The 27,835-nt window shown below is 48.4% G+C and overlaps 1 long non-coding RNA gene across 1 annotated transcript, besides 1 other annotated feature; it reads right to left on the bottom strand.

Annotated features, from left to right (window-relative positions):
• Positions 1-7,685: 7,685 nt before the first annotated feature.
• Positions 7,686-27,326, bottom strand: LOC101929420 (uncharacterized). The gene is made up of 5 exons (NR_110870.1): positions 27,189-27,326; positions 10,888-11,396; positions 10,374-10,599; positions 8,894-9,596; positions 7,686-8,352 (listed from the first exon to the last, which is right to left on the bottom strand). It is a non-coding gene; the product is annotated as an uncharacterized LOC101929420 (long non-coding RNA).
• Positions 21,867-22,367: an enhancer, noted in NCBI's record as "H3K4me1 hESC enhancer chr6:168648577-168649077 (GRCh37/hg19 assembly coordinates)". NCBI's record gives its function as "activates a minimal SCP1, AML or CMV promoter by ChIP-STARR-seq in primed H9 embryonic stem cells {active_cell/tissue: H9 hESC(primed)}" and the evidence as "EXISTENCE:reporter gene assay evidence [ECO:0000049][PMID:30033119]".
• Positions 27,327-27,835: the final 509 nt, after the last annotated feature.

The raw sequence follows: 27,835 nt of genomic DNA, 5'->3' as shown, positions 1-27,835 counted from the left end.
GTGTGTATATATGGTGTGCCTGGTGTGTGCAGTGTGGCATATTTATATGGTGTGTGTGATGCGTGTGTGTGTGTGTGGTGTGAGTATATGGTATGTGGGGTGTGGTGTATTATGTATATATGGTGTGGGGTGTGGTGTGTGTATATGGTGTGTGTATGGTGTGTGTGTGGTGTGAGTATATGGTGTGTGGGGTGTGGTGTATTATGTATATATGGTGTGTGTGTGGTGTGTGTATATGGTGTGTGCGTGGTGTGTGTGTGGTGTGCAGGGTGTGTGCACATGGTGTGTGCATGTGATCCTGTGGTGTGCTGAACAGAGCGGCTGCTTAAAAGGGGGGGTGGGGAGTGAGGACTGCAGGGTCACTATGTTCACTGATGCTCACATTCTTAAGGCACAAAACAGATGGCCTGAGGAGTTGGCCCCTGAGTTCTTAAATAAGAGAACCAGGGAAGAGGTAGGACAATTTATTAGGACAGTGTTTTTCCTAGGGAGGGAAAATAGGACCCTAGGAAAAAGAATCACAGACCGTCACACATGCTGCCATACGGCTGGCGAGGCTCCCTCCAGGAGGCACAGCACGGGTGTCAGCATGGACACGGCTCCCGCTTCTCAGGACCGCAGCCTGCTGCCCGCAGCCTGCCAGGGAGAAGTGGGAACCAGGGAGGCCGGGCACAAAACACCTCGCCCGTGTCCCTGGATCTGGGGTCCCGGCATGTTGTGCGGATCCTTCTAATGTTAGCTGTAATTGGCTCAGAGCTTCCACTTTCCTGCCCCAAATCAGCAATTCCTCATGTCCCCCATAATCCTCCTGTCCCCCCTAACACTCATGTCCCCTCAACCTTCATGTCCCCCATAATCCTCATGTCCCCCCAACCCTCATGTCCCCCTAACCCTCATGTCCCCCTAACCCTCATGTCCCCCTAACCCTTCACTCTAGAATTTGGCCACATGCTTGACAGACCTCTCCCCTCAAGTGCTTCCTGAGAGCCCAGCACACCCCAGGGACCCTCACCCAAGGCCTCCTGGGAGATCCAGCTCTTCCTTCCTGCATCGCAGTCACCAGAGGGGCTGGGGGCTCCCTCACCCTCCTGGAGCTTGGGTCCCTCTCACTGTCCCTGGGGCTGGGGTCTCTGTCACCATCTTCAGGGCTGGGATCTCCCTCACTGTCCTTGAAACCTTCTGCATCAGCTCTACCTCCCCCTGGTCTCTCTTCTGTCCCCAGGCAAACTCCTTGAAAATTGTGTCATTTTCACAGCCCACGTTTCCTCCCTCCCATTCACTGTTTGGTTTTGCCTTTGTGTAATGAGTTTTAACCAAATAAGCTATGCATAAACATCATGACTCCACCACTACAAATGGCTTCAAGTGTGGCAGAAGACCAGGAATCCAGCACCTTGTCATCCCACATAAGAAGTGCTAGGCCCTGTAGGTCCTTCTGGAGGGACTCCCCTCTCTCCCCACCCCCAGTCCTGGCTGCTGCCCTCAACTTTCCACTGATCTTCCCCAGCCTAAGCCCTGCCCTTCTAGGCCAAGGACTGGACACTCATTGGCCATGCACAGTTCTGTTGATCAGCATTTCCCACACTTGTAAATTTGGTCTTTTGATGTTCGACATTCTGCTGTCTCATTTTGGTTTTAACTTGCGTTTCCCTAATGACTGCTGACGTTGAGCTCCTTTTCATGTATTTGCAAGCCGTGTGGACAGCCTCTCTCGCGCTGTTTCTGCTCAAGTTCTCTGCTGAGATTTTCTTTTGGTTTGCCTTCTTACCAGTTTGCAGGAAATCTTGTTACATTCTTGGTGTGTGGGTATTTACTGAATGCATGGACTGCAAGTTGCCTTCACTATGCGGAGCTTGCCTCTTCCTCTCCTAACAGTGTATTTTGATGAACACAAATTATTAATTTTTCATAAAGTTCCATTTTTTTCAAACTCATTTATGATTAGTGCTTTCTTTGTCCCATTTAAAAAATCTTTGCCAAATACTTTCACACTGTTGGTGGGAGTGTAAATTAGTTCAACCGTTGTGGAAGACAGTGTGGCAATTCTTCAGAGACCTAGAACCAGAAATACCATTTGACCCAGCAATCCCATTACTAGGTATACACCCAAAGGAATATAATCATTCTATTATAAAGATACATGCAAATATATGTTCATTGCAGCACTATTCACAATAGCAAAGACATGGAACCGACCCAAATGCCCATCAATGATAGACTGGATAAAGAACATGTGGTACATATACACCATGGAATACTATGCAGCCATAAAAAGGAACTAGATCATGTCCTTTGCAGGGACATGGATGGAGCTGGAAGCCACTATCCTCAGCAAACTAACACAGGAACAGAAAACCAAACACCACATGTTCTCATTTATTAAGTAGGAGCTGAACGACGAGAACATGTGGACACAGGAAGGGGAACAACACACACTGAGGCCTGTCAGAGGGGACAGAGGGAGGGAGAGTATCAGGAAAAATAGATAATGGATGCTGGGCTTAATATCTAGGTGATGGGCTGAGAGGTGCGTGAAACCACCATGGCACATGTTTACCTATGTAACAAACGTGCACATTCAGCACTTGTACCCAGAACTTAAAATAAAAAATAATGTTTAAAAATCTTTGTCTGCCCATCTTCTTGAAGACAGGCCTGTGTTTTCTTCCTGATTCTTTAGTGTTTTACCCTCCACATTTACACCTTCAATCTACATGAAATCAACTTTCGGAATGGTAGTTTGAGGCAAAAGAAAATATTTATTTTTCCCCTAAAAATACACAATTGATCCAGCCCTAGTGTTTTTGAAACTGTCTTTTCCTCAATCTGTTGCAGTGATCACTCTGTCATATATTAGGGGACGTGGGGGGTCTGTTTCTGGAGTTCTGGTTCCCTGCCTCGGATCTGTTTGTCTGTCTTCTAGCCTGCATCACGGAAGAGTCTGACTTCCGACCTTGTGATCTAAGATCATTTATTGTCTGTAACTGGCCCTGTACATTTCAACATGCATCTTCAAATACTGGAGTCACCATGTCAATTTTAAAACGTGTGTCCCTCTCCCTGTCCCCTCCAAAAAATATCACCTGTGGATTCTTTGGAGGGATTCCACTGAATCTGAAGGTCTGTTTCTGGAGAATTGGCATTGTCAAGTGGTCGAGGGTCCATGTCAAGTGGTTGAGGGTCCCGCAGCAGCAGCAGCTGCTAGGCTGGGTGCACACACTTCCAGAGATGTGCCTGGCCTGGACACGAGAGCACCTGTGGTTTTAACATTTATTGCACACACCGCACACAAGCAAGATGGCATGCTGCAAGCTCTGTGTCTCTGGTCCCACAAGACAACACGGAACCAGAGCCCCCCCCGCTTCACTGTAACCAAAAACCAGGTGAGTTGCTCGCCGCATGCAGAGTTCCATCAACAAGAGTGAGTTCTGATACAAAAACAGTGAATTTACTCTGAAGCTATAACTTGGGGAAGGGGCACAAGACATCCTGCCTTTAAATGTGCTGCTTCACCTTTGCAGCAGAAAGTGAACTCTTTTTTAAGCTAAGGGCAGGGGCCCTCTGCTAGCCTGGTGCCTTATCTACCAGACATCTGAGGTGGCACCTTCTTGGTGACTTGGGCAGAAATAAGTTGTAAAGGTGGCCAAAGGGGCTTGCTTTCGCAATGCGCTTCTGGTGGAGGAAAATCCGGGGCAGCTAGCTGGAAGGGATGCTTTCCTCTGCAAATCCGGAGAGAGCTGTCTGGGCACACAGGGTTAGAAGAACTTGCCCGCGGGGAATGTCTGGTGAGGAGGAGGTGAAAGGCTAGATTTGCATTTCTGAAGGGCTTAATAGGAAGTGAGCAACCAAGGAAAAGAAGAGAGAGAGGGAAAAAATTATAAACCACCTCTTAGAAAAAGGGGGGTACTCAGTTACCCCATGACTGCATGAGCAGCCATAGGCTCTGCTGTCGGGAAGTCCCCCCATTCTCCAGCAGCAGATTGGAAGCCTGCAGCTGTCTCCTGCGGGGTGAGGTGGAGACTCCCACCCTCATTAAAAGCAGGAGGCTACTCCTCCCACAATGTCCAAGGGTCACACGCCACTTGCTATGACCAGCCAGGCAACGGCAAGCCTGACCTGTGGCCGATGTGGGTTCCTGCAAGGGTGTCAGGTGCCATGGCAGAGCCAATCCCCTACGGAGACCCTTCTGCACTGGTGAAGCTTCCATCCTCTCTGTCTCACCTGTCCCCCACTCACAGTGACCTTCCAAAGTTTGCTGACAGCGGGTCAGTCTCCAGACACAAAACATCTTTAATGTGCAGCTCCTAACCCCATCAGGTCTCCTCCAACAAACCATCACTTCTGATCCATGGAGAATGTTAAATCCTAGTATAGATTTGAATCCACTTAGGTCGCGTCTATTCCAGGACAATGGAAAGAAGGGTGGGAAGGAGAGTGAAGAATGAATTCCAGATGTAGCCATCCCATTGTCGGGTTTTCACGCATCCACAACCACCAGCCTGCACACTTTTGCCTTTAGATTTGGGGCATTTGGGAAAGAGCCTTGGTCTTCAGATCTCCGTCTCCTCTCAAGCCACAGAGAGCAGGTGGGAGCGGAGTGCCGGGATGCACCGACCAGGGGTCCCACAGAGGCTCCGGTGTGTGATGGGGGGGGGCCGCAGCGTTTCCTGATGTGCCCACATGTTCCTCACCATGTCCAGCATTGTCTCGGGTCAACATCCTTCATGATCCACATGGGACAGTCGCAACCAGAGCCCCTCCCATAACACGGAGCCTGAAGCTCCTATCCCTGATTTGAGACGGCCACCTAGTGACGTCTCTAGCCCTGGTCTGCTGATGCCCAGGGGGTCTTCGTGTTAGGAAGGGAGGATTCTTCCAGAAGCACAGTTCTCTGCCTTCAGGAAAAAGGGGCTGAGAAGGTAATAAAGCATAAAATGCAGTGTAAAGGTGCAGGAAAGCTTTGGGATTTAAAACAGAGGGAGAATTGGAGGAAGGATGTGAGCCAGGGTGTCAGTCCAGCGCCTCCCAGGAGGATAGTCGCTTGGCCTGGGGGGTGGGCCGGGCACCTCGAGCTCCTTATCTGGCTCAGGTGGGCCCATCCCTAATCCCCTAATCAATCGGTGTTTGAAGAGACAGTTTTCCTGCATGCTATCTTCCCAAATGCCTTCAATTCCACAGCACTTCGGTAAATATGTTTAGCAATCCTCTCATCCAACCAGCATGTCAGGGCTTGGCACACAGGGGCAGGGACTGCCCAGAGTATGAGGAGCCTTTTTACATGGCCTGTCATGTAGATTTTAAAAAATCACTTGAGGTGGAAAGTGCTATATGGTTTCCAAAGACAAGTCCCAACACCTGACCCTTTCATGAGCTGGAGGCGGATCTGTCAGGGCACCGGTGGTTAGGAGGCGAGGAAGGAACGGAGGCCTCTTCTCCGACCGTCTGCATGTGCCACGAACAGCTGTGAGTAAGTCAAAATAGACAACACGCAGGAAAACAAAGTCAGCCCCACAGTTTTGTGACTGCTATGGGGAGAGTCACGTGGCCAGAAGCCAGCGGTGTACTTTGGACAGCGTTATGCGTTCTGGGGCCTGTTTCATCACTTTTTTTTCAGTTATCCCTCACGTTTTTAGAATTTTTTCCCCTCCTTTACAGTATTCTAAGTGTGGAGGAACATTTGTGTTTTCTCTTGGTGGTGAATGCACACGTTTCAAGTAATTTACAACTTAAAATCCTGGAGACTGGGGAGGGAAAGGGCTGAGGACAAGTGGGCTGCGGGTGAGGGGCGCTGGTTCACGTGGGCGCCTTTCGGAGAATCCCAACAGCACTAACCTAAAGTGTCTGCATAATTAAATTAATGACTTTTAAAATGTTGGGGAATATATTGCTTATTACAGTTTTTTTCTCACTTTAACAGTTCTAAGGGCCCCAACACCTCTTCTTAAGAAAGTTAGTTCGGCTTCTCTGTATTAATATTTAATATCCAAGCCAGACAAATATAGTTTATAAATTTAACAGAAAATTTAACAACTTTATAATTATAAATCTAAGGAACTTAAAGAATCACAAAGTAAAAAACACTTGGATAATAAAAATGGAGTAAAACAAATTTACATTTAATTATGTTCACATCTAAAGAGAAACATTACAAGGGAATAGGTAGGAAAAATACGTTTTTAAATATATTTTGTTATTTTAAAAAAATACACGTGTGTATTTAATTACAGCACTGTTCTCAAAGTGTGGCTCAGCAGAGAGCCTGGTCTTAGACCCTGGGAGGATGTTCAGGTCCCACAGATTGTTTCTAACAGGGAGATGGGGGCTGGGGGGCGGAGGAGGAGGTTCAGCTACTCTGAAGCTAAATATACATCAGTTTGGGAATAAGAGATGCAGAAAAACCAGAGCTTGTCTTGGGCTTTCTTCTCCACCTGGCAGTGATCGTCTGCAGCAGCCCACAGAAAGGCCTCAGGCCGCAGACAGACTTGAGGCTCTATCCCGCCCGTCCCAACCCCCAGCACCGGCGTCTGTGCCGTTCCACGCCGGCTCCTGCTGCCAGCCGAGCCCTGAGGTGGGGCGCGGTCTCTGAAGGCACCAGGCTAAGGGGCTGGAAACCAGTGTCCAGTGCCCACTCTCCGCGCGTGTCTTCAGCTTTTCAGGGGAGTCTGTGCCCACAGCTCCACCTCGTTGGAAGCATCAGGCAGTTAGAAATCAGCCTTCGGGAAGGCTTCGTCAGTTTCCTTCACGGAGAGAACCCAGGAGCCTGGTGCGCCTGCCCTCTGAGGCTGCGGCGAGCTTTGCGTCTGAATTCCTTCTCCAGCGTGAGACAAACCGCCCGCTCTGTGCTGCTTGAAGGATATTTTTCAAAGTGAGGAAACTGAGGCCACGCGTCATGGTGTCATAATCCACCAAACACATTTGTCGGACGGTTTTCCTTTTCGTCTTAATCTCAAGGAACGCATATTTACAGCTCAAGTGCAGAGCTGAGCCTGAAATGCAGGCATCACCCACCTGAGGCTCAGGCCTATTAAAATATGGACACTGCTTTGCACTTTGTTCGTTGTAAGGAGTCTCTTTCTAGAAAATAATAAGCTTGTATTTGCAAATACAGATAAAAGGGCACTTTGGGCTTTAAGATGCTGGTAAGTTTTAGTGGCAGAAGATGGATTTGCCCCAGTCTGGTGATTCCAGACTGTGGGATCCGGAATCAGGAGGCCCTCCCTTCCTGCAAGGTGAGTCCCTCTGGGCCTGGGGCCAGGACTCGGCAAAGTGTCAGCCCGTGTGACCAAGGACTCTGAGGAGAGCCCAGCGGCGGAGCCCAAGGCTGGTGTGAGCCCAGGCTAATTTTTTTTTTTTTTTTTTTTTTAGACACAGTCTCACTCTGTCGCCCAGGCTGGAGTGCAGTGGCGTGATCTTGGCTCACCACAATCTCTGCCTCCCAAGTTCAAGCAATTCTCCTGCCTCAGCCTCCTGAGTAGCTGGGATTACAGGTGCTCGCCACCACACCCAGCTAATTTTTTATACGTTTAGTAGAGACGTGGTTTCACCATGTTGGCCAGGCTGGTCTTGAACTCCTGACCTCAGGTGATCAGCCTACCTCGGCCTCCCAAAGTGCTGGGATTACAGGCATGAGCCACCATGCTTGGTCTCTTTTTTCTTTTTCTTAATTTTTTTTTTTTTTTTTTTTTGAGACAGAGTCTCACTCTGTCACCCAGGCTGGAGTACGGTGGCACGACCTCGGTTCACTGCAAACTCCGCCTCCCGGGTTCAAGTGAGTCTCCTGCCTCAGCCTCCTGAGTAGCTGGGACTACAGGCACCCATCACTACACCCGACTCATTTTTGTATTTTTAGTAGAGATGGGGTTTCTCCATGTTGGCCAAGCTGGTCTTGAACTCCTGACCTCAGGTGACCCGCCTGTGCCTTGGCCTCCCAGAGTGCTGGGATTACAGGCATGAGCCACCGCGCCTGGCCCCAGGTTAATTTTTAACATGACTGTGAACTCTCAGAGACTCCTGAAGAATAAACAAAAGCCTCTCTCGCCTCATTGTCCCCGAGGGAGAGAGCCCGGTGCCCTGCGAGGGAGAGGCTGAGGGTCCAGAGGAAACGGGAGGCTTTCCACGGCCACTGCAAGTGTTTGCTTTAAACAAATATTTCAAAAGTCAAGATCCCGAGAGCAGCCATATGCCTCCTTCTGAGGACCCATGAGTCTCTTTCATCTGCAGTTTATTCAGTGGGACTTTGGCCTTCTCCGACTTCTGAAGGTCAACCAGCCGAAGCCAACACACCCTCTTTACATTGACTCACAGCGCAGGCCAAGTCCGCTTGAGTGGAACATGCTTCTGAGAGTGAATTTCCTGGAAGGACGTGGGAAAAGGGAATTTAAAGAGGAAATTCTCATTTTCTTTTCAGTGTTTGAACTCAAGTAAATAGCCACAATTATAGGATAATTTAAGTTTATCCTTACCTTTTCTTACATAAAAATCCACTTTTATAACATAAAAGTTATAACAAATTAACTTCTTGTTTGAATGCACTTTGTGTTTTGAGAGCTAGTAGTTTTTCAAAAAGGCTTCAAAGCTTGTTCATCCTCAGCCTCACTCGCTGTCCCACAGGGACTCTGGTTATTGGGATATCTGGGGTATCGTAGGATACACATGGCTCAGCCCATGGGGCATTTGTATGTCCAGAAGGGACACGGCCCAAGGCAGCCTCTGTGGTCAGGGGATCCCACTCTTCTCTGTCTGTGGACGTCCCCCTTTCGGGGCGCATGGGAGCAGCTTCAACACAGCAGCCCTTCCTGGCGCTCTCCCCTCCCACCCTGGTGGTCTCCCCAGAGCTCCGTATCACCTGCCTCCGCGGGACATCACCTGCCTCTGCGGGGCGTCACCTCCTTACCTGCCCTGGCAGAATCAGGTGCTCCTGCACAGAGTTTGCTCCCAGTGATGGAGGTGTCACATGCTGTCCTGAGAGTTGAGATGGTCGATACAGTGTTTGAACTTCACAGAGCACATCAGGCCCACAGGAGTAAAAGGAAGAACTTTATTTTCCAAAGCGTCCCCTTGCCTCCCTCCTGGAGCTTGACCCTCTGTAAATGAGAACCATTGGCTCTTCCCAGTGTAAATCAAAGTGTGTGCTTACAGATGTCCCTGTGAAAATGAAACTATCTGGGCCCTGCCTTTTATAAACAGAAAAAACAAAACAAAGTGTCTGGTGAAGGCCATTCCTTGGGCTTCATTCAGCACCCACGAGGCTCTGGGAAGAGCCCATCCATGCGGGAGATATTATTACCAATGGACCCAAAGAACAATTGGTGGATGACAGGGTGGACAACATGAAATAGACAAACCAGCACTGGAAGAGCGCCCGGGCTGTGCCCCCTGCCCCGCATCCCCCACCCACCGCCCTACAAGGTCAGCCTGTGCAACGTCGGCCCCACGCAGGCGGCCTCTCCAGGTCGAGGGGTTTCCGTCGGTGCTCAGAGCCATGCAACTGCCCTTCCAGAGGTGGACAGGCTCCAGGGGTGCCGGTCAGCCCTGTGCAGGCCCGAGAGGGCTGTGGAGGCAGGTTTCAATGCGTGTTTTGTTTGGGGCTCTTTAACCTGTGGAAGGAAATGCCCAGCGGTTTAAGCCAAGTGAGGGGAGGGCTGGGGCTTTACAGGCAGTACCCGGGTTCCCGCGGAGACCCAGAGGGAGAACTGGAGGACCCATCCCCCCAGGACCTAAGCCTGAAGTCTCCACCACAGCCGACAGCTTTCCTGTGTTTCCCGGACTGCAGCTCCTGAGAGCATGCCGAGGGTCCTGCTGCACACGCGGTCAGCTGTGGTGTACACAGGATCAAACGACCTCCCTGATCTGATCTCAGTTGGTCAGGGAGCTGCGCAGGGCACGACAGGCTCTGGGAAAAAGTACCATATGAACGTTAAGATATCAGCCAAGGCCAGGCACGGTGGCTCACACCTGTAATTCCAGCACTTTGGGAGGCCAAGGTGGGCGGATCACCTGAGGTCAGGAGTTCCAGACCAGCCTGGTAACATGGTGAAATCCCATCTCTACTATAATCACAAAAATTAGATGGGCGTGGTAGCGAGTGCCTATAATCTCTGCTACTCGGGAGGCTGAGGCAGGAAAATCGCTTGAACCTGGGAGGCGGAGGCTGCAGTGAGCCGAGATCATGCCACCGCACTCCAGCCTGGCAACAGAGTGAGACTCTGTCTCAAAAAAAAAAAAAAAAAAATGCACCTAAAATGAGATGCACAAGGTGCTAGTCGCTGATCTCATGGAGGGTAGAGGAGGAATCTGAAGGTGTCGGGTTGTTATTTAATAGAGTCCTAACCTGAAGCTGAACAGGAACTTAAGGAGCTGAGCCAAGTCCTCACCTTCTCACAGGGAAGCCAGGCCCACAGGGGACAGTGTAAAGGAACACAGCAAACTTTCACTGGCGCTGGGATGGCATTTGAGGCCTGGTGACCCACAGACCCGGGCTGCACTCTGCCTCCATGGCTGGTCTGTAGGGTGGAAATGCTCCTGACAGGCAAGCTTGATGGACTGTGAGTATTTCTTCCATGACGATAATATTTGAGGTTTAAAGAAAAATCACAAGTACTGGAAAAAAAAAAAAGAAAGAAAGAAAACTCTATGAAGTAGAAAAAGAGAGAGAAAGAGCTCCATGTTTCCATAAATACTTTATTTTTTTAAACTTAATTTTAAGTCCCGGGATACATGTGCAGGATGTACAGGTTTGCTACACAAGTAAACGTATGCCATGGTGGTTGCTGCACAGATCAACCCATCACCTGGGTATTAAGCCTCACATGCATTAGCTCTTTATCCTGATGCTCTCCCTCCCACCATGTCCCTGAAAATACTTATAAAATTAAACAAATAAGTTACCATGTGTTAGGACGTTAGGAGTGCTTTTGGGGCAGGCGTATTATAATTAAGTGGTTATGTAAAACTTTTAAAAATGTGATTAGTTTCCACTGTTTCTGTTCTTGTTTTCATCTCCAGCAGAAAAGCAATTCAGAGTCAGTCTCAGGGAGCGGAGAGAAGGCTGGGAATCTCAGCTTTGCTGAAGGTAATTGCGGGGCCCTGAGGAAATCATTTAATTTCTTGACATGCCGTTTGTGCACAGGACTGACCCAATGGCTTCCTTGTATGGCCGTCCTGGGTAGCAAAGGCATCCGCACGCATGAGCTGTGGTGGGTATGGTGATGCCTGGTGAGGCACATGCTCCATGCACCATGGATGCTATCTTCTTTAGGTATGTCCTGAAAGACTTGACTTCTCGGCCGGGCGCGGTGGCTCACACCTGTAATCCCAGCTTGGGAGGCCAAGGCAGGCGGATCACAAGGTCAGGAGATCAAGACCATCCTGGATAACACGGTAAAACCCCGTCTCTACTAAAAAATACAAAAAAAAAAACAAAAACAATTAGCCGGGTGTGGTGGCGGGCGCCTGTTGTCCCAGCTGCTTGGGAGGCTGAGGCAGGAGAATGGTGTGAACCCGGGAGGCAGAGCCTGCAGTGAGCCAAGATTACACCACTGCACTCCAGCCTGGGTGACAGAGTGAGACTCCATCTCAAAAAAAAAAAAGGCTTGACTTCTCTACATTTTAGGATACGCTCACTTTTTATTTGAAGGATGGTCAATTGAACGCACTCCAATTTTGGGCACCTATTTGCACAAAAATGACCTCATAGAGCCATAAAGCACACACAGTGAGGCCAGAAGTAGTTTAAGTTAAAGACATTCATTTCATTTATTTGTGTTTGCTGTCATTCCCCTGCAGCTTTTGCATTTAGTAATTTTTATCTTTCCATATTGGTTGTTTCCCACAAGCTTTGGGTGACTTGATGGGGGCTGGGTCACTGTGGACGTTCTCTCCTTTGTACAGTGTCATGGAGAAGAGAGTCACATGGACAGGGAGGGGCCGGGGTCGCCATGCACATCTCTTGTCCAGGGAGGGGTCTGGGCAGCTGAAAGTCTCTGATTGTCCTACTGCCTGGGCCACCCTGAGAACCATCATCTGATGTCTTAACTACCAAGTGATTTGCCCTGCTATGAGCTCATACCCTTATAAAATGAAAATGCCCCATAGGAAAAGGTCATTTGTTTACCTAAACAGAACTTAAATTGTGACTGATGTTCTGCACTGAAGGGATGGTCAGAGAACACCAATTCCCTCCATGGGTCAGCGTCCACGTGCATGCCTGCAGGTCCTCACCATGATTCTGAGTGACACAAACTCGCTGTGTTGAATGAACTCTTTTCCTCACCATTTCCGTCGCCCCCTCAACAAGCACAACGCCCTAAAACCACCGCCATGTTTAGACCTTCGTCTATCATGGAAGAGTCCTCCACAACTGTATAGATCACCCCGACAGGTAAACTTGTGATCCTGGCAGAATTAAGAATTCTTTAAACAGACGTTTTCTAGATTAAAAAAGAATCGTCTTTCCCTGGGGTTACTAACCTGAGAGCGTGCTAATCTGCGTGGGTCATCCAGGGATGTGGAAATTGTCTGAAGAATGAAGCCAAGAAGAAAATGACAACATGAGAGACAAATGGGGAATGGGGAGAGGAGAAAGGGAGAGAGACAGAGAGAGAGGGAGAGAGATAGAGACAGGGAGAGAGACAGAGACAGAGAGATAGAGACAGAGAGAGAGACAGAGACAGGGAGAGACACAGAGACAGAGGGAGAGAGACAGAGACAGAGGGAGAGAGACAGAGAGAGGCAGAGGGAGAGAGACAGAGACGGAGAGAGAGAGAGGCAGAGGGAGAGAGAGAGAGACAGAGGGAGAGAGACACAGAGAGAGGCAGAGGGAGAGAGAAAGATAGGGAAGAGACTGAGACAAAGGGAGAGAAACAGAGAGAGACAGAGGGAGAAAGAGAGGGGGCAGAGGGAGAGAGAGATGGGGGAGAGATTGAGACAGAGGGAGAGAGACAGAGGAAGAAAGACAGAGAGAGAGGCAGAGGGAGAGAGAGAGAGGCAGAGGGAGAGAGAGAGAGAGGCAGAGGGAGAGAGACAGAGACAGGGAGAGAGACACAGAGAGAGAGAGAGACAGAAGAGAGAGGGAGAGAGACACAGAGAGAGAGGGAGAGAGAAAGAGAGAGAGGCAGAGGGAGAGAGACAGAGACAGAGAGAGACAGAGAGGGAGAGAGACAGAGAGAGGCAGAGGGAGAGAGAGAGATGGGGTAGAAATTGAGACAGAGGGAGAGAGAAACAGGGAGAAAGAGAGAGAGGCAGAGATGGGGAGAAACAAAGATAGAGGGAGAGATTGATACAGGGGGAGAGAGACAGAGAGAGATGGGGGAGAGATTGAGACAGAGGGAGACAGAGACAGAGAGAGACGTAGAGAGAGAGAGACAGAGAGGGAGACAGAGAGAGGGAACCTGACTCTGCACCATTAGTGGCGCTGGCTCAAGACCCTGATTCTGTGCCCCTCCCTCTGATTCTGTGATGCACCTATGACCCTGCTCAGCTGTGAGCCCATAACACCCCTGGGTTCTAACCTGGAAGCTGAACATGTTAGCCTGTTTCAGGATGAGTTCCCATCACTTTGAACTGAGAGATTCTGTCCACTGAATGATGACCACATTCATACGTTTGGAAAGGAAAGCTTTATTTCTCATAAAGGGCTGTAGCCTGTAGGTGGCCATTCTGACCACTTGGAAAGGGTAGCCTCCAGTCAGAAGCTAGAAACAGACATGTAGAAGGTGGGAAGAATAAGACAGGGATTGATTGAGCAAGGTGGCCAAATATACATATTCAATAAGCTATGGGGGGAGTCATGAATATTCATGAAAGAAGAAATACATCCATGTGCAATTGAGTTTCATGCCCCTTTATGGGTCCCCTGTTCAAAAATGGCCACATTAGCATAATCCCAGGGTGGAGTTTTTGTCCCTGTGATATCAAAAAGTGAAGTAGAGGACACGAAAACTCACTGTGCATCCTCAGTAGACTGGCCAGAGCCACTCTGAGGTCAGTGGTCTCTGTCAGGAAGGAATAGCGGTCAGTGGTTTTGTCAAAACTGCAAAGGGAGGGGCAGTGGCAGGTAGTTGATTGATATCAATGGCAGAGCCTTTTGAAAGGGCTGGTTTCTACCCAGTCCTTAGGGAAGGAAGCCTAATGGCGGTGAGGCATGTCTGATCTCCTGTCCTATCATGGCCAGGAACTCAGTTTCAAGGTTTCTCTGTGGTCCTCTTGAACAAGAGATGATCTATTCGGTTAGTTGGGGGCTTAAGATTTTATTTTTATTTCTCAATCCTGACTGATACATGGCCCTTGACTTGCACTACAGCCATGCCTCTATTTCTATGTAGAGGGCTGTGTCTGAGCTGTCTGACTGCTCAGGAGAAGCGAGATGGGGGTGCAGTGCCTGGACAGCAGCTCCAGGGGTCTTTGCATGCACATGGAGCAGGTCAGTGAGAGCTTGAACAACAGCTTTCCTCAGGTCTAAGGAATAATAAGTAGGAAACAAGCCAGATGCCAGAAAAGCACATGAATTAAGAGTGTGAAAGCAAAGAACCCAAAGTCATCCTTCCGAAGAGGATGGAGCTCATTGTCCTTGGTCACTTAATGCATGAGGATGGGTCAGCTGGCTTGGGTAGACACCAGTGTTCCCCAGAAAAACAGAAACAGTAAGATGCATACATAATATAAACAGAGAGAATTGGGTCATTCATTACAAGGATTATGGGGGCTGGCAAGTCCAAAACCTGCAGTGTGTGCTGCAGGCTGGGGACCTGGGAGAGCCCATGGTGCAGCTCAGCCTGAAGGCCGTCCACTGGAAAATCCCCTCTTGCCTGGGGAGGCCGTCCTCTTGTTCTGTTCAGGCCTTCAGCTGACTGCAGGAGGCCCACCCAGATTACGGAGGGCAACCTGATTTACCCAAAGTTCACAATGTAACATCAATCTCACCAAAATCACCCTCCAAGTTAACACATAAAATTAACTGTCACAAGTCCATCCCATGTCAACTTGGCACCAGACACATTTCCTTACACCATGCCCAATCTCCAGGTAAAAACAATAATAAGGCTACACTTTTGCCTAAAATGGTACAACCATCCTACATGCAACCAAGTATGCACAAACTCCCTCCCCAGAAGAGGAGGCAAAGTCCTTTAGTGGCATTTAATCATCTCCCTGATATCCTGTGACTTACATGCTATTATAAAAAGGGGACAAAAGAAGGAAGGAAACAAAGATATTTGATACACCCACATATTCATGGCAAAATAGAGAGGAAGCACTCAAGACAGTGGCAGCCCTTGATTCTGTAACTGGTCCGATGGGCAGAGCTGGTACTCACAATGACCTTCTTCTGTGTTTCATTTGCCTGCAGGAAGACCTCAGCTGGTCACAATTCTGTATTTGCCGGGGTGACCCAAATCTTCATATGTGAAGGGTCTGGGCCATTCGTAGTCTGCCTGGATTGGGTTGAGGTGGTTTTCCTGGATTGGGTTGAGGAGTCAGTAGGACAATGATTTCCCACTGACTCCAGGCCAGGGTCATGGGTGGCTGGAGCCTGTCCCGGCAGCCCAGCCCATCCCACAAGGCAGACCCTGTCCTGGGCAGGTCTCACTATGTTGAGCCTGGTCAACATAGTGAGACCCCATCTCATAAAAAAAACAAAACAAAAACTAAAACTTTTTAAAAAGTCTGTTTTAATTTTATAAACCAAGACCATAAACCTGTCCTTAAACACTTCAGATTGAGAGAAGCAACTGGTCCTATTACCTTGGTTTACAGGTGGAGAAACCAGAGAGAACCATCTAGTTGAGCATCACATTGAATTAATATTGATTCCAGCACTTGAACTCAATTTTTCTCATTCCTGGTGAAGTGCCCTTTGCATCACACACAGTGAAAAGCATCCAATCACATTCATCATGCTTGATACTCCTTATTAGTAAGGTTCAAAAGCCCATGAGAAAGAGAGACATGGCTTTGATTTCCAATTTATTTGTTGAGGAGACGTATCAGATTCATCATTCAGAGGTGACAGTGGTTGTGAGACCTGGGGGCCCTGAACATACCCTAACTTGTATTATCACAACAGGGGCACACTGCTCCTGATTGGTGCTTTTCAGCTTGGCCGTTCATGTCCTTCACAGCCCCTGGGGGAGAGAGGGAAACACAGCTTTTCCTTATGTTTGGAAACTTGTGCTTCCTGACGCGATGTTAGGAATTGGTCATCGTGCTGCTTGTGGGAACAGAGCTGGACTAGGGAGACCCAGAAGGCCCATCCATGGCCTGCAGTGTAGATGCAGCAGGTCCTCAGATGATGTCATTTTGTTCAATGTCATTTTGGTGTAACGTTGATGTGAAAAAAATCGAATTGCCACCGGGGCCACTCTCTGGGTGGAGCTCAGGGCTCTCCGGGTTCCTCCCACATCCCACAGATGTGCACAGGCTCCAGCCACCCATCACCCTGGCCTGGAGTCAGAGGGAAATCATTGTCCTACTTGTTTTTCTCAATCTTTCTTAAATGTCTGTATAGCTCACACTTATTTCCATGTTTCATATGAGGAGTGTTTTGGTCTTTGTTTCGAGGTATGGTGATAATGTTTTTTGGCCAGAAATACGTTGTAGGAATGTAACTCTTGTTTCTGTCAATTAACCGATGGCAAATTGGTTTTGTTTTATGTCATTTCACCTCAAGTTGCTATTTCCGAGTGTCAGAGCAGGAGAAGCACCATCATCTCGGACAAGCCCTGCCCCTTTTAGTTCCAGTTCCCTTTCCAGCCTCCTGCATTTCAAGGAAATCACTTCTCTTCTAACTACAAGCAGCCAGAAAGAGCAGACAGTAAAACACAGATAAGACAGCTCTGGCACCAAGGGAGGTGGGGGAAAGTCTCTTGGGTAACGGCCAAACTTCACCCTCATACAATGGGCCCCAGTAAAACAGTGGGCCTTAATAAGCACGTTGCTTTCCCTTCCGGTGCACTAAGATAGGGAAGCTAAAGGCATACTCAGGGGTGGGGTGGGGGGTTGTATGCCTGCAGCTGCAGAAAGGCACAACTCTCCCTCCCAAAGAAGCACAACAAAGAAACACAGAAGCAGCCCAAGCCTCTGATAAACTCTCCCTCCCTAAATCCTTAAAAACTCTTAGTCTGTAAGGGAGTGCAGCTTCTGACCTAACTTGGCCAGAGGTCCCTCCCAGGTTTGAAATGTTGACTGTTAAGACACGCTTCGTGGCCGGGCGCGGTGGCTCACGCCTGTAATCCCAGCACTTTGGGAGGCCGAGGCGGGTGGATCATGAGGTCAGGAGATCGAGACCATCCTGGCTAACAAGGTGAAACCCCGTCTCTACTAAAAATACAAAAAATTAGCCGGGCGCGGTGGCGGGCGCCTGTAGTCCCAGCTACTCGGGAGGCTGAGGCAGGAGAATGGCGTGAACCCGGGAAGCGGAGCTTGCAGTGAGCCGAGATTGCGCCACTGCAGTCCGCAGTCCGGCCTGGGCGACAGAGCGAGACTCCGTCTCAAAAAAAAAAAAAAGACACGCTTCGTGTTTCTCTCCTCTTTCTATAATTCTTACATCGAAAGCCTATCCCCGATGTCCAGTGAGGACCTACTGTGCCAAAGCTATGTCTCTCCAGCACCTTCTCCAGCAGCATCCACACCTGCTGAAGGACCTGGAGCCAGCTGGTGAGGGGTTATCCTCTCTGAAAATGACCTCATGTGGCTCTGGAGCCTTGAGTGTGAGACCAGAGGAAGGGCCCAAGGTCATGGCTCCCAAGAGGAAGGAGCTCGTGTCCAGCAGCCTGTGGTGGTTCTCACTGGTACTGGGTGAGGGTGCCTTCCACGGCGGGCACTGTGCCAGCTGTGTGGGCATTGCCCCATCTCCACTTCTCTACCCTGCACCTCAGCAAGAGCAACTCTGGAAGAAATCAAGACACAGAGGTGAAGGGCTGTCCAAGCTTTCCCACAAGCTCGCATTCAAATCCAGTTCTCAATTTAAAACTAGAAACCTTAATGATCACCCCCTCATACAGCCTCTAAGGTGTAGGTCAGTGAATGACAGCATACACATATTTCAGGTTTCCTTTATATGATTCTAGGTTTTCCACTAAAACAAAGACGTTCTAGGCCTTCTGGAGAAGGAATTTTCATGGAAAGATGCCCACCTCTAATCTCTGGGCTCTTGTTAGAGCAATGCGTGGTCCACTGGCCAGCATCACCCAGGACCTTGTTAGAATGCAGAATCCCAGGCCCACCCCAGACCTTCCAAATCAGAGCCTGCATCTTAGCAAGAGCCCAGGTGGCTCAGACGCACATGAGAGTTTGGGAAGTCTTATGTCAGGTCATAAAGGGCAAAACCTTTGGTGATATTGAAAGATCGAATGCCTACTATAAAGTGTTTGATGGGAAGGCAATGCTCCAGAACCCTGAGTGTCCATTTAATTTGCTCTCTCAATTTTGTCCACAAAAGATTGAAAGAGAATTCAAAGAATTTAGGTCATGCTTTGTCACTTGAGGTGCAATCTAGTTTTGTAAGTTTGCTAAGAGATTGAACAATTAAATAGTTATAACTACAAAACATTAAGATGATGATGATCAACAGAAAGAATGAGAAAAGGTACATGATTAAAAGAAAAACGCCACTTCCTTAAAGTCCCGGATATTTTGATTCTCTTTTTCTATTTTTCAATTCAGCGTAAACATTCTCTTCAGTTTGATTTTTTATTATTACAGAAGAATATGTAATCATTGTAGAAGATTTAGAAAGTACAGGTAAGCAAAGAAGGAGGGGGAGAAGGAGAAGGAGGAGAAGAGAATGGAAAGGGGGAGAAGGAGAAGGAGGAGAAGAGAATGGAAAGGGAGAGAAGGAAGGAAAAGGAAAACCTCTGTGGTCTCACTAGCCAGAGAAGACACAGCAGCTCCCATTTTGCTCTAGGTACTAATACTCAAACACTGAAGCATGCGCATACTTACAAATGAGGAACTGGATGATGAAACTATTGTAAAGTAAGTTTTTCACTTAATAAATGCATCAAGGACTTCTTCCCAAAGAACATTTGCTTTTGATCTGATGATAAATAACAGAACTACTGATATAATAGTAATAAAACTATAGCTATTTTTAAGGTATTAAGAGTAGAGAAAAAATTAAGGTCAGAAAGGGTAAGGCATTTTTTTGAAACTTGTCAAAATACACAGTCATTCTGGGAAGCCATGTTCAAAACTACTTATTGACAGCAATTAAAATTCTTTATGATGATTTAGAGCAGTGAGGTATTGAGGGAAAACTAAAAAACACACATTTGTCAGCAAAATGCCTTTTCCAAGGGAAGGCATGGTGAAGCCACCTTCTTTTTTGGGGTGATTTTGTTATTGCTCAGGATGGGAATTCCTGGATTCCAGAGTCTGTATTCTGGCGGGAGCTCCCATCTGGGTGAGGGGTCCAGGAGGGGCTGATCTACGAGATGAGCGAAGGTTGGCTTGGCCTTTGGTTGAGAGCTCTGGACCCGTGAGATTTTGAGGTGGATGGGGCATGCGTCCATGTCCTCATGTCTGGGATCTCCAGGCTACCTCTGAGACAAAAGGTTAGGGCAAGTGATGGCCTGTTGACTGCCCTTCTTTTCTAAATCTGAAAGAAAAAAAAAACCTCAAAGCTGTGTTATGTTCTGGCCATAAAAGTCACAAGCCTTTGTCTCCTGGCTGGTGTGTCCGTCCCCTTTAGCAGCGAGTCTGTGCCTTCGTCCTGTGGAAGAGCCAACGTTGATTCTCAGGCTGTGAGCAAAGCCCTCTGTGCAGACAGAGCTCCAGCCGTGGCAGGTGGCTTCTCATCACCGCCCACCGGTTCCTCTTGGGCCTTGCCCAGCCCGGGTGCTGGGAGGTCCTCAGACAGTGCTTGCTGAGTGAAGCTGAGACCTGGGGTGGTTTCAGCAGTGGCCGCCTCCAGGCTGCCCAGGCTTCTTGCCCTCACCTCCCAGACCACGAACCAACCCACAGTCCTTGCTAACCGAGAGTCCTTCCTAACCCACAGTCCTCCCTAACTGCCACCTCAGGTTCTTCTCATCTGTCACCTTTGTGTTTGGTCTGGAAAAATTCCTGAGCTGCATGAAGCTCCCTGCAGCCTTCATAGGTAGGTAGAGCAGGTTCTGGGAGGGAAAGAAGCCCAGGAGATGTAAGCAACCCAGACAGTGGCTTGCACTGATCCGGGCCCCCCCACACCCGTCCCTCCCTGGGCGAGAGTCCTCGAGACGGGAAAGGCTCTGAGATGGGAAAGGCACTGGCTTCTCCTGTCTTCCTGAAGTGTAGGCGTCCCCGACAGGGCTGAGCTATACCAGCGGAACTGCGCTGTGGAAACGTGGGTTCCCATCACACTGTCATAGCCAATGCAAGCTCCCCTGGATTTCTGTGGGAGCGACTTCCCATCCCTGAACTAAGACAGCACAGACCTCATGATGTTTGGATACTGCTCCTGTTCACAACAAACATACGTCATGGACAGGTGCACTTTGGCACCATACGGCACCCACATTTTATTCACTCATTCATTCATGAGAATAGTTTCCCACCTACCAAGTGCTGTGCACTGCACCAGCCTCACGCAGTTGGGAGAGGACATCCTGCCCAGGAGCAGCTTAGGCTCAGAGCAGAAATGGCACTGTGAGTCTAGGGCCATTAAAATGGACAGGGGCAGAAACCCAACTGTGCGTGGAGGATTAGTTACAATGGAGACTGTGACCTGGACTCTGCCCCACTGGGACAGGAGAGCCCTCATTGTGTGTTGAGCAAATGACTTAATAAAATCATGAAATCATATATAAATATTTACAATAATTCAGTAAGTCATTAGATTGATAGGTTTAGATCCTGTGTGGCAATGAACCAGCTTTATTTTTCAAAGCAATCATCCGTGTATTCTAATCTTGTCTTCATGCTTTATTTCATCAAGTTGATCTTCAGTCTCTGATATCCTTTCTTCTGCTTGATCGATTCGGCTGTTGAGACTTGTGTGTGCTTCATGAAGTTCTCGTGCTGTTTTTCAGCTCCATCAGGTCATTTGTGTTCTTCTCTAAGCTGGTTATTCCAGTTAGCAATTCCTCTCACCTTTTTTCAAGGTTCTTAGCTTCCTTGCATTGCCTTAGAACATGCCCCTTTAGCTTGGAGGAGTTTGCTATTACCCACCTCCTGAAGCCTACTTCTGTCAATTCATCACACTCATTCTCCGTCCAGTTTTGTTCCCTTGCTGGTGAGGAGGTGTGATCCTTTGGAGGAGAAGAAGTATTCTGGTTTTTGAAGTTTTCAGCCTTTTTGCACTGGTTTCTCCCCATCTCCGTGGATTTATCTACCTTTGGTCTTTGATGTTGGTGGCCTTTGGATGAGTTTCTGAGTGGACGTCCTTTTTGTTGATGCTCTTCCTTTCTGTTTGTTAGTTTTCCTTCTAACAGTCAGGCCCCTCTGCTGCAGGTCTGTTGGAGTTTGCTGGCAGTCCACTCCAGATCCTGTTTGCCTAGGTATCACCAGCGGGGGCTGCAGAACAGCAAAGATTGCTGTATATTCTTTTTCTCATAAAAATTTAGTGCAAGGAGAAAAATAATCCTCCAACCAGTCAGTAACCATCCTTCTAAAAGCCACCACAAAGCCCCAGGAAAAGCCGCCAGTCATCAAAGAGGCCAGTTCCAATCAACGGCCTTTGGGGGCTGGGGGAGGCATAGGGCTCTTCGGCATCAGACCTCCAGATGGTGTCAGTAAGAACACAGTCACCCTCCACCCAGGCACCAAGGCAGCCGGTTTCACCACCGCCCAGGACGCACAGGCACCCCAGGAAACACAGCCAGCGGGTCAAAGCCCACCTCAAGGACCTACTTAGCTCTAGGCTGGTGGGACTTCTAAGTATGTTTTTCTTTGTTTGTTGGTCTAATGCGGCAATTATTTCTAGCCTAAAACCACAAACTATGTGAGGTTTGCTTATTCTAACTTAACAACAATTTGAGGTTTCCAGTTTAAACATTGTTATCTAGAAATGTCTGATCTAAGCGCTGCAATATACATTTTTATTTCTATTTGTTACCTTATTGATTTCATTACCCAACGGCATTTTCCAAACTTGACATATTTGACACCAAGGATACTCTGTGGACTTTGTGATATGGATTTACATAGCAATGGAAATGCTAGGTGCATGCCCACATCTGCAAGGAGCAGGGGTTGCTTGGCAGCCAGTTTTCTCCAGGATGAGGGCTGTCCACAGTGACGTGACATGGTGGGGTGGGGGGAATCCTGAATTCCCTCTTCCTTGGCATCAGGTGGCTCTGCGGAAGCCGAAGCCAGCAGCGAGGGTTGAAAAGCTCCCTTTCCACAATTATGCCTCAGGCCTTTATTGCCCTGACAGAGCAGCCATCTCTCTGGCATTATCAAAGCCTCACAACCTCCCTTTGCAAGGCAACAGTGGCGTGAGGGCGGTGCCCAGAGAGCTGATGTCGATCCCTGGATGCAGTCCAGCCCTGGAACTAATTTCCTGAGCTTGCAGAGAAATGGCAGCGCGAGAGCCGCTGACCTCCCTGGCGCTCACCCTCCATCTGTCCCATGAACACCAGGATTTTGCTCTCCTCTGAGAGCCATTAAGGTGGCTAAAAATAATTACAGAGCTCGTCATAAAAGCGCAGTGTTATGTAAACAGTGCAGGAAATCCCCCATTGAGCAAATAACACTAAGATAGTCTTTATGAGCCAGCGATGGGTGAGAAACAGAGCTCAGGTTTTCTAGCATCAGCACTTTACTTCAAAACTAAGTTGTAATAGCGACAACTCTAATAAGTTATTCTTGTTTCGATCATTCTCACCTCATTCATCAGTGAAAAAATAGCGAATAGGCACAATTTGGTGTATATAACTGGAGCTGTGCTTTTCAGAACAGCACTGCATTTCACAAATTAATAACTTTCCCAAAGACTCTTAAATTCCATAGAATGTTCAGCTCTTAAGCAACATCTCTCCAGTCCGTGAATTATAGAATCTTAATATAAAGTAACAGGACTTTCTGTATGGAATGTCTTACTCTGAATACCTTATCAAAAATATTTTACAGCATCAATTACACCTCACACACTGCCCAGGGCTCAGGATACAATTGTGTGCATATTTTACAGGAGCCTTTTTTGCAGATAGAGTGGAGTACAAATTTACACACACCCAATGTGTATGCACTGCTTTCCCTGTGCATCTCCTAGGTGTGTCACTGTAACAATGCAACATGAACAACTCTGATGCTCAGACATGAGAATTACCAACTCCCTAGAAGTAATTCTGATTTAATTGGGAAGCAACATGGTCTATTAAAAATTAACACAGACTTTGGAGACATCCAGCAGTGGATTCAGTTCTGTGTCACCCTTTGAGCCTACATTTTCTCCTCTATGAAATGGGGCTCACCCTCCTCCACCTCCATGTTTCTGGCTGAAAGTTGGATTCGAGGCTGTATTTGAGATGCAGGCTTGGGGAGCCTGGGAGTGTAAGCCCATGATGTGCAGGTTGCATTTCTGCTTTTATGGTTTACAGATAACAGTGGAAATGTTAGGGGCGGTGCTTGTGCTGTGCACATCTGAAGCTGTCGTAGCTGCCACACGAATAAGGAGGAATCAGATGGTGTGTTCCTGTGATTCTGGGCATCTGAGAGCTGAGGTGTGATGCCCTCAATCCACACAGCTTCTCAGATTCAAAAGAAATCCACCTTCTTGCCCCAACCCTCCTACACTGCGTTGGTTGTAGGAAAATCACTCAGTGGTCATTCAAGGCTACAAGTTGTATTCAGCTGCGTAAGTGAATATTGGATTACATCTTTGATAAACTGTTTTTCCTACCTCTCAAATATACAGTATGCTTTAAATAGAAGAATGGTTTGTAGCAGATTAGATTCAGTTCATGAAAGGAGTAATAAATATTCAGTTCACTCCCAACTGTGTATCTTTTTAAAATCATTCGATAATGGCCACTTTGGGGGTTGCTTCTGATGATTGAAAATTCCTGAAAGTTGCTTTGAACATCCCGAAGAAGGCTGCTCTATCCAGAAATTTCGGGTGCAGATTAGAACATCCCGAAGAAGGCTGCTCTATCCAGAAATTTCGGGTGCAGATTAGAACATCCCGAAGAAGGCTGCTCTATCCAGAAATTTCGGGTGCAGATTAGAACATCCCGAAGAAGGCTGCTCTATCCAGAAATTTCGGGTGCAGATTAGAACATCCCGAAGAAGGCTGCTCTATCCAGAAATTTCGGGTGCAGATTAGAACATCCCGAAGAAGGCTGCTCTATCCAGAAATTTCGGGTGCAGATTAGAACATCCCGAAGAAGGCTGCTCTATCCAGAAATTTCGGGTGCAGATTAGAACATCCCGAAGAAGGCTGCTCTATCCAGAAATTTCGGGTGCAGATTAGAACATCCCGAAGAAGGCTGCTCTATCCAGGAATTTCGGGTGCAGATTAGAACATCCCGAAGAAGGCTGCTCTATCCAGAAATTTCGGGTGCAGATTAGAACATCCCGAAGAAGGCTGCTCTATCCAGAAATTTCGGGTGCAGATTAGAACATCCCGAAGAAGGCTGCTCTATCCAGAAATTTTGGGTGCAGGTTAGAACATCCCAAAGACATCTACTCTATCCAGAAATTTCGGGTGCAGGTTAGTCTGACAGCCGGCTGCCCCGGGGCTTTCGCATTTTTGTGTGAATTGGATTCAGGGTTTCTTTTTTTCTGAGCCATGTACTTTTGCGGAAAGCCTTGCAGCTTTGAAGGGCTCTGAGTTTACTCAGCACTGGAGCCAGTATTGTTTGAACTTGGTGTGTACATGTTAACAGACAAGGTTTTGTTTCCAAGCTTGACTGAATTTTTCAAGTAGTGTAAACCAACTTCAGTCCGTAAGCTGTTATTTCCATTTCAGTAACAGCACACACAGCCAGGCCTGTGGAGAGCATCCTGTGTACTAAGGCCAAAGCTCATCTGTGAAATTGTGAACTGGGTCCACGCTAAGGGGCCTTAGACAGTGAGCAGTGGTACAGTGGCAAGAGTGGGGATGGGGCTGCATGATTGGATCTGCCCGCTTTTGGGGATGGCCCAGAGGGGAGGGGGTAGATAATTGAGGAACCACGAAATATTGGCACTGCCTGGTTTCTATATGGAGGGGATCGTCATCCATAACTCAGGTGCTGTCCTGATGGGGCGGGCACCCCTGGCCCTGTCCGCGAGAGCCTCTGCAGCGTCGGCTGCTGCACTTGGCGTCCCTGAGCCGGAAGCAGTCTCCTCGAGAATCTGCGCAGAGCTACGCGGGAAAATGGAGTTTATGTTGAAGGGGTAAAGCATTTGTACTGACTTGCCGGGGGAGGGGTGTGTGTATAAAGCTGTAGCATCTCAACCTCTTCATTATAAAAAATACCACCTCTTCATTTAAGAACTAATCTTTTCTTCAAAATCAGAAAAATAATAGGCAAATCTGTCTCACTGTGCAGAAAGTTGTAGAATCTATTAAGACCACCCCCACTCACTTCTTTTTTCATAAATTCATCCAACCCTGGGATTAACTAAGTCTTTCTCACCATCTTACAAAGCCAGGAAATGTCAGCTTTTGCCCAAAGTGAAGCTCAGCTGAGACAGGACCATCCCAGTAATGGAAGCGTTTGCACGTATGGTTGGAATAGACAGGCCATCCCAGTAATGGAAGCGTTTGCATGTACGTTCGGAATAGATGGGACCATCCCAGTAATGGAAGCATTCGCACGTATGGTTGGAATAGACAGGCCATCCCAGTAATGGAAGCGTTCACATGTATGTTTGGAATAGACTGGACCATCCCAGTAATGGAAGTGTTCACATGTATGGTCGGAATAGAAAGGGTAGTTTACAAACACTGAAAAGGTGCCTGTGTTGTGTTCATATGAGTGAGAATGAAAAAGAAAACCTCCGATGGTGCAGCAGGTGCCCCCCCCTTCCCCACGAGAGCCTTGTGCTTCCAGGAATCCCCCTTCCCACTGAAGGTGAAAAGAGGGCCTCGTGCTTCCAGGAATCCCTCTTCCCACTGAGAGTTAAACGAGGGCCTCGTGCTTCCAGGAATGCCCCTTCCCACTGAGGGTGAAACGAGGGCCTTGTGCTTCCAGGAATCCCTCTTCCCACTGAGGGTGAAACAAGGGCCTTGTGCTTCCAGGAATGCCCCTTCCCACTGAGGGTGAAACAATAAGGGCCCTGTGCTTCCAGGAAGCCCCCTTCCCACTGAGGGTGAAACAAGGGCCCTGTGCTTCCAGGAACCTCACCTTCAGCTACAGAAAAGGGGCCCTCTCCATGACAGTGGTTACATGTTCATCTTCATTTCCAAAGGCTCAGGTCAAGGGCTCAGATTCAGAAGATTAAAAATCTACCCAAAGCATTAATTATTCACAGCAAAACTGGTATAGGAGGTGGGGTGGGGGACAGAGTGAGTATTTTGTGGAATCTTTAAAGAGTTTGATTTCTTTCCTTAGTGCCATTGTTTGCTGCTATGCACTGTTTCTTGTTGGGATGGAGAGGAAGGCTAGGCAGAGAGAGGGACAGAGAGAGGATGGAGAGGAAGGCTGGGCAGAGAGAGAGAGAGAGGAAGGAGAGGAAGGCTGGGCAGAGAGAGGGAGAGAGAGAGGAAGGAGAGGAAGGCTGGGCAGAGAGAGGGAGAGAGAGAGGATGGAGAGGAAGGCTGGGCAGAGAGAGGGAGAGAGAGAGAATTGTTTCTTGATGAGAACTGCTGCACACGCAGGCAAAGGGGAAAAAGGTGCCTGTGTTGCACATTCTCAGAGGAGTCTGCATGTTTGATCATAAATAAAAGATTTTTTCTTTCGTCTCCTTACCTAAGCCGAACTTGCTTCTCTTCTCCTTTTTATTTTTGTTTATGTATTTGTTTCTCAAGAGCGCAGCTTTCTTTGTGATCCTCAGGGTTTCTTTTATGTTTCTTGGGATTCGCATTTTCCAGACCTGGTGCTGCTGGGAGACCTCAGGTTGGGGCAGTGGCTGGGCCACCCAGGCTGCCTCTGCCCTCTGCTCTGCGTTGGGCAGCCTCACGGAGCTGGATCCTGGGACCCAGCTGTGAGCGCTCAGCGCAGTGCTCAACTCTCACTGGGCCGAGGTAGCTGGGAAGGCATGAGTGATAGGCACAAGCCCACGCTTGCAGGCCTTGTCGGGGTGGTGGCCCTGAGCTCCACATGGAGGGTGTCCTCCAAGCCACTCACCATGTGAGAGCCCTGAGGGTGGGACAGCCGTGGCCTCCTGCTTGCCGGTCACAGAGCCACACACACACTCCAAGGCAGGGTTCCTGGAAGCCGAGGCCTGCACAGGAACCCAGGGGGATGCTGGGGTTGAAGAGGAACGACGAGGGCTTGGTGGGTGAAGGGCGAAGGCCTGAGAGAAGAGGAAGGTCTCACCATAATTAGAATAATTAGAATGCTGACTCCACAATTAGAATGCTGACTCCAGAGCCCAAGGAAGTGAACTTAGCCCTGGCCCTGTTTTTGAGCAGGCTCTGTGGAATATCACCCAAAGGCCACGGTTCTTCAGCAGAACATGTTTGGGACCTGCTTGTTGAAGAAACATGGAATCCGAGGAATGGAAAGCTGGCCTGAGAACTGATGTATCGATGCTGTAACCCCACATGTATGTGGTGGATTTGTGTTTGGTTTTTGTCTTCCACAAAACCTCACATACTCCTCAGGAAGTTACCTTGGGAACAAGTGGCCATGGCTGTTGGGGGAGAGCCAGGCTTCCTGCAGAACTGCCCCTTTTTAACATGTGTATACACTGGAGTTCCACACAGGGTCTCCTTGGCAGAAGCCAAGCAATGACAGCCACCTGCCCAGGCCTCATTTCACAGTGGGAGACC

The sequence above is a fragment of the Homo sapiens genome, chromosome 6 (assembly GCF_000001405.40).
Source record: "Homo sapiens chromosome 6, GRCh38.p14 Primary Assembly".
NCBI lineage: Eukaryota > Metazoa > Chordata > Mammalia > Primates > Hominidae > Homo > Homo sapiens.
This window is presented reverse-complemented; position numbering and strand designations above follow the sequence as displayed.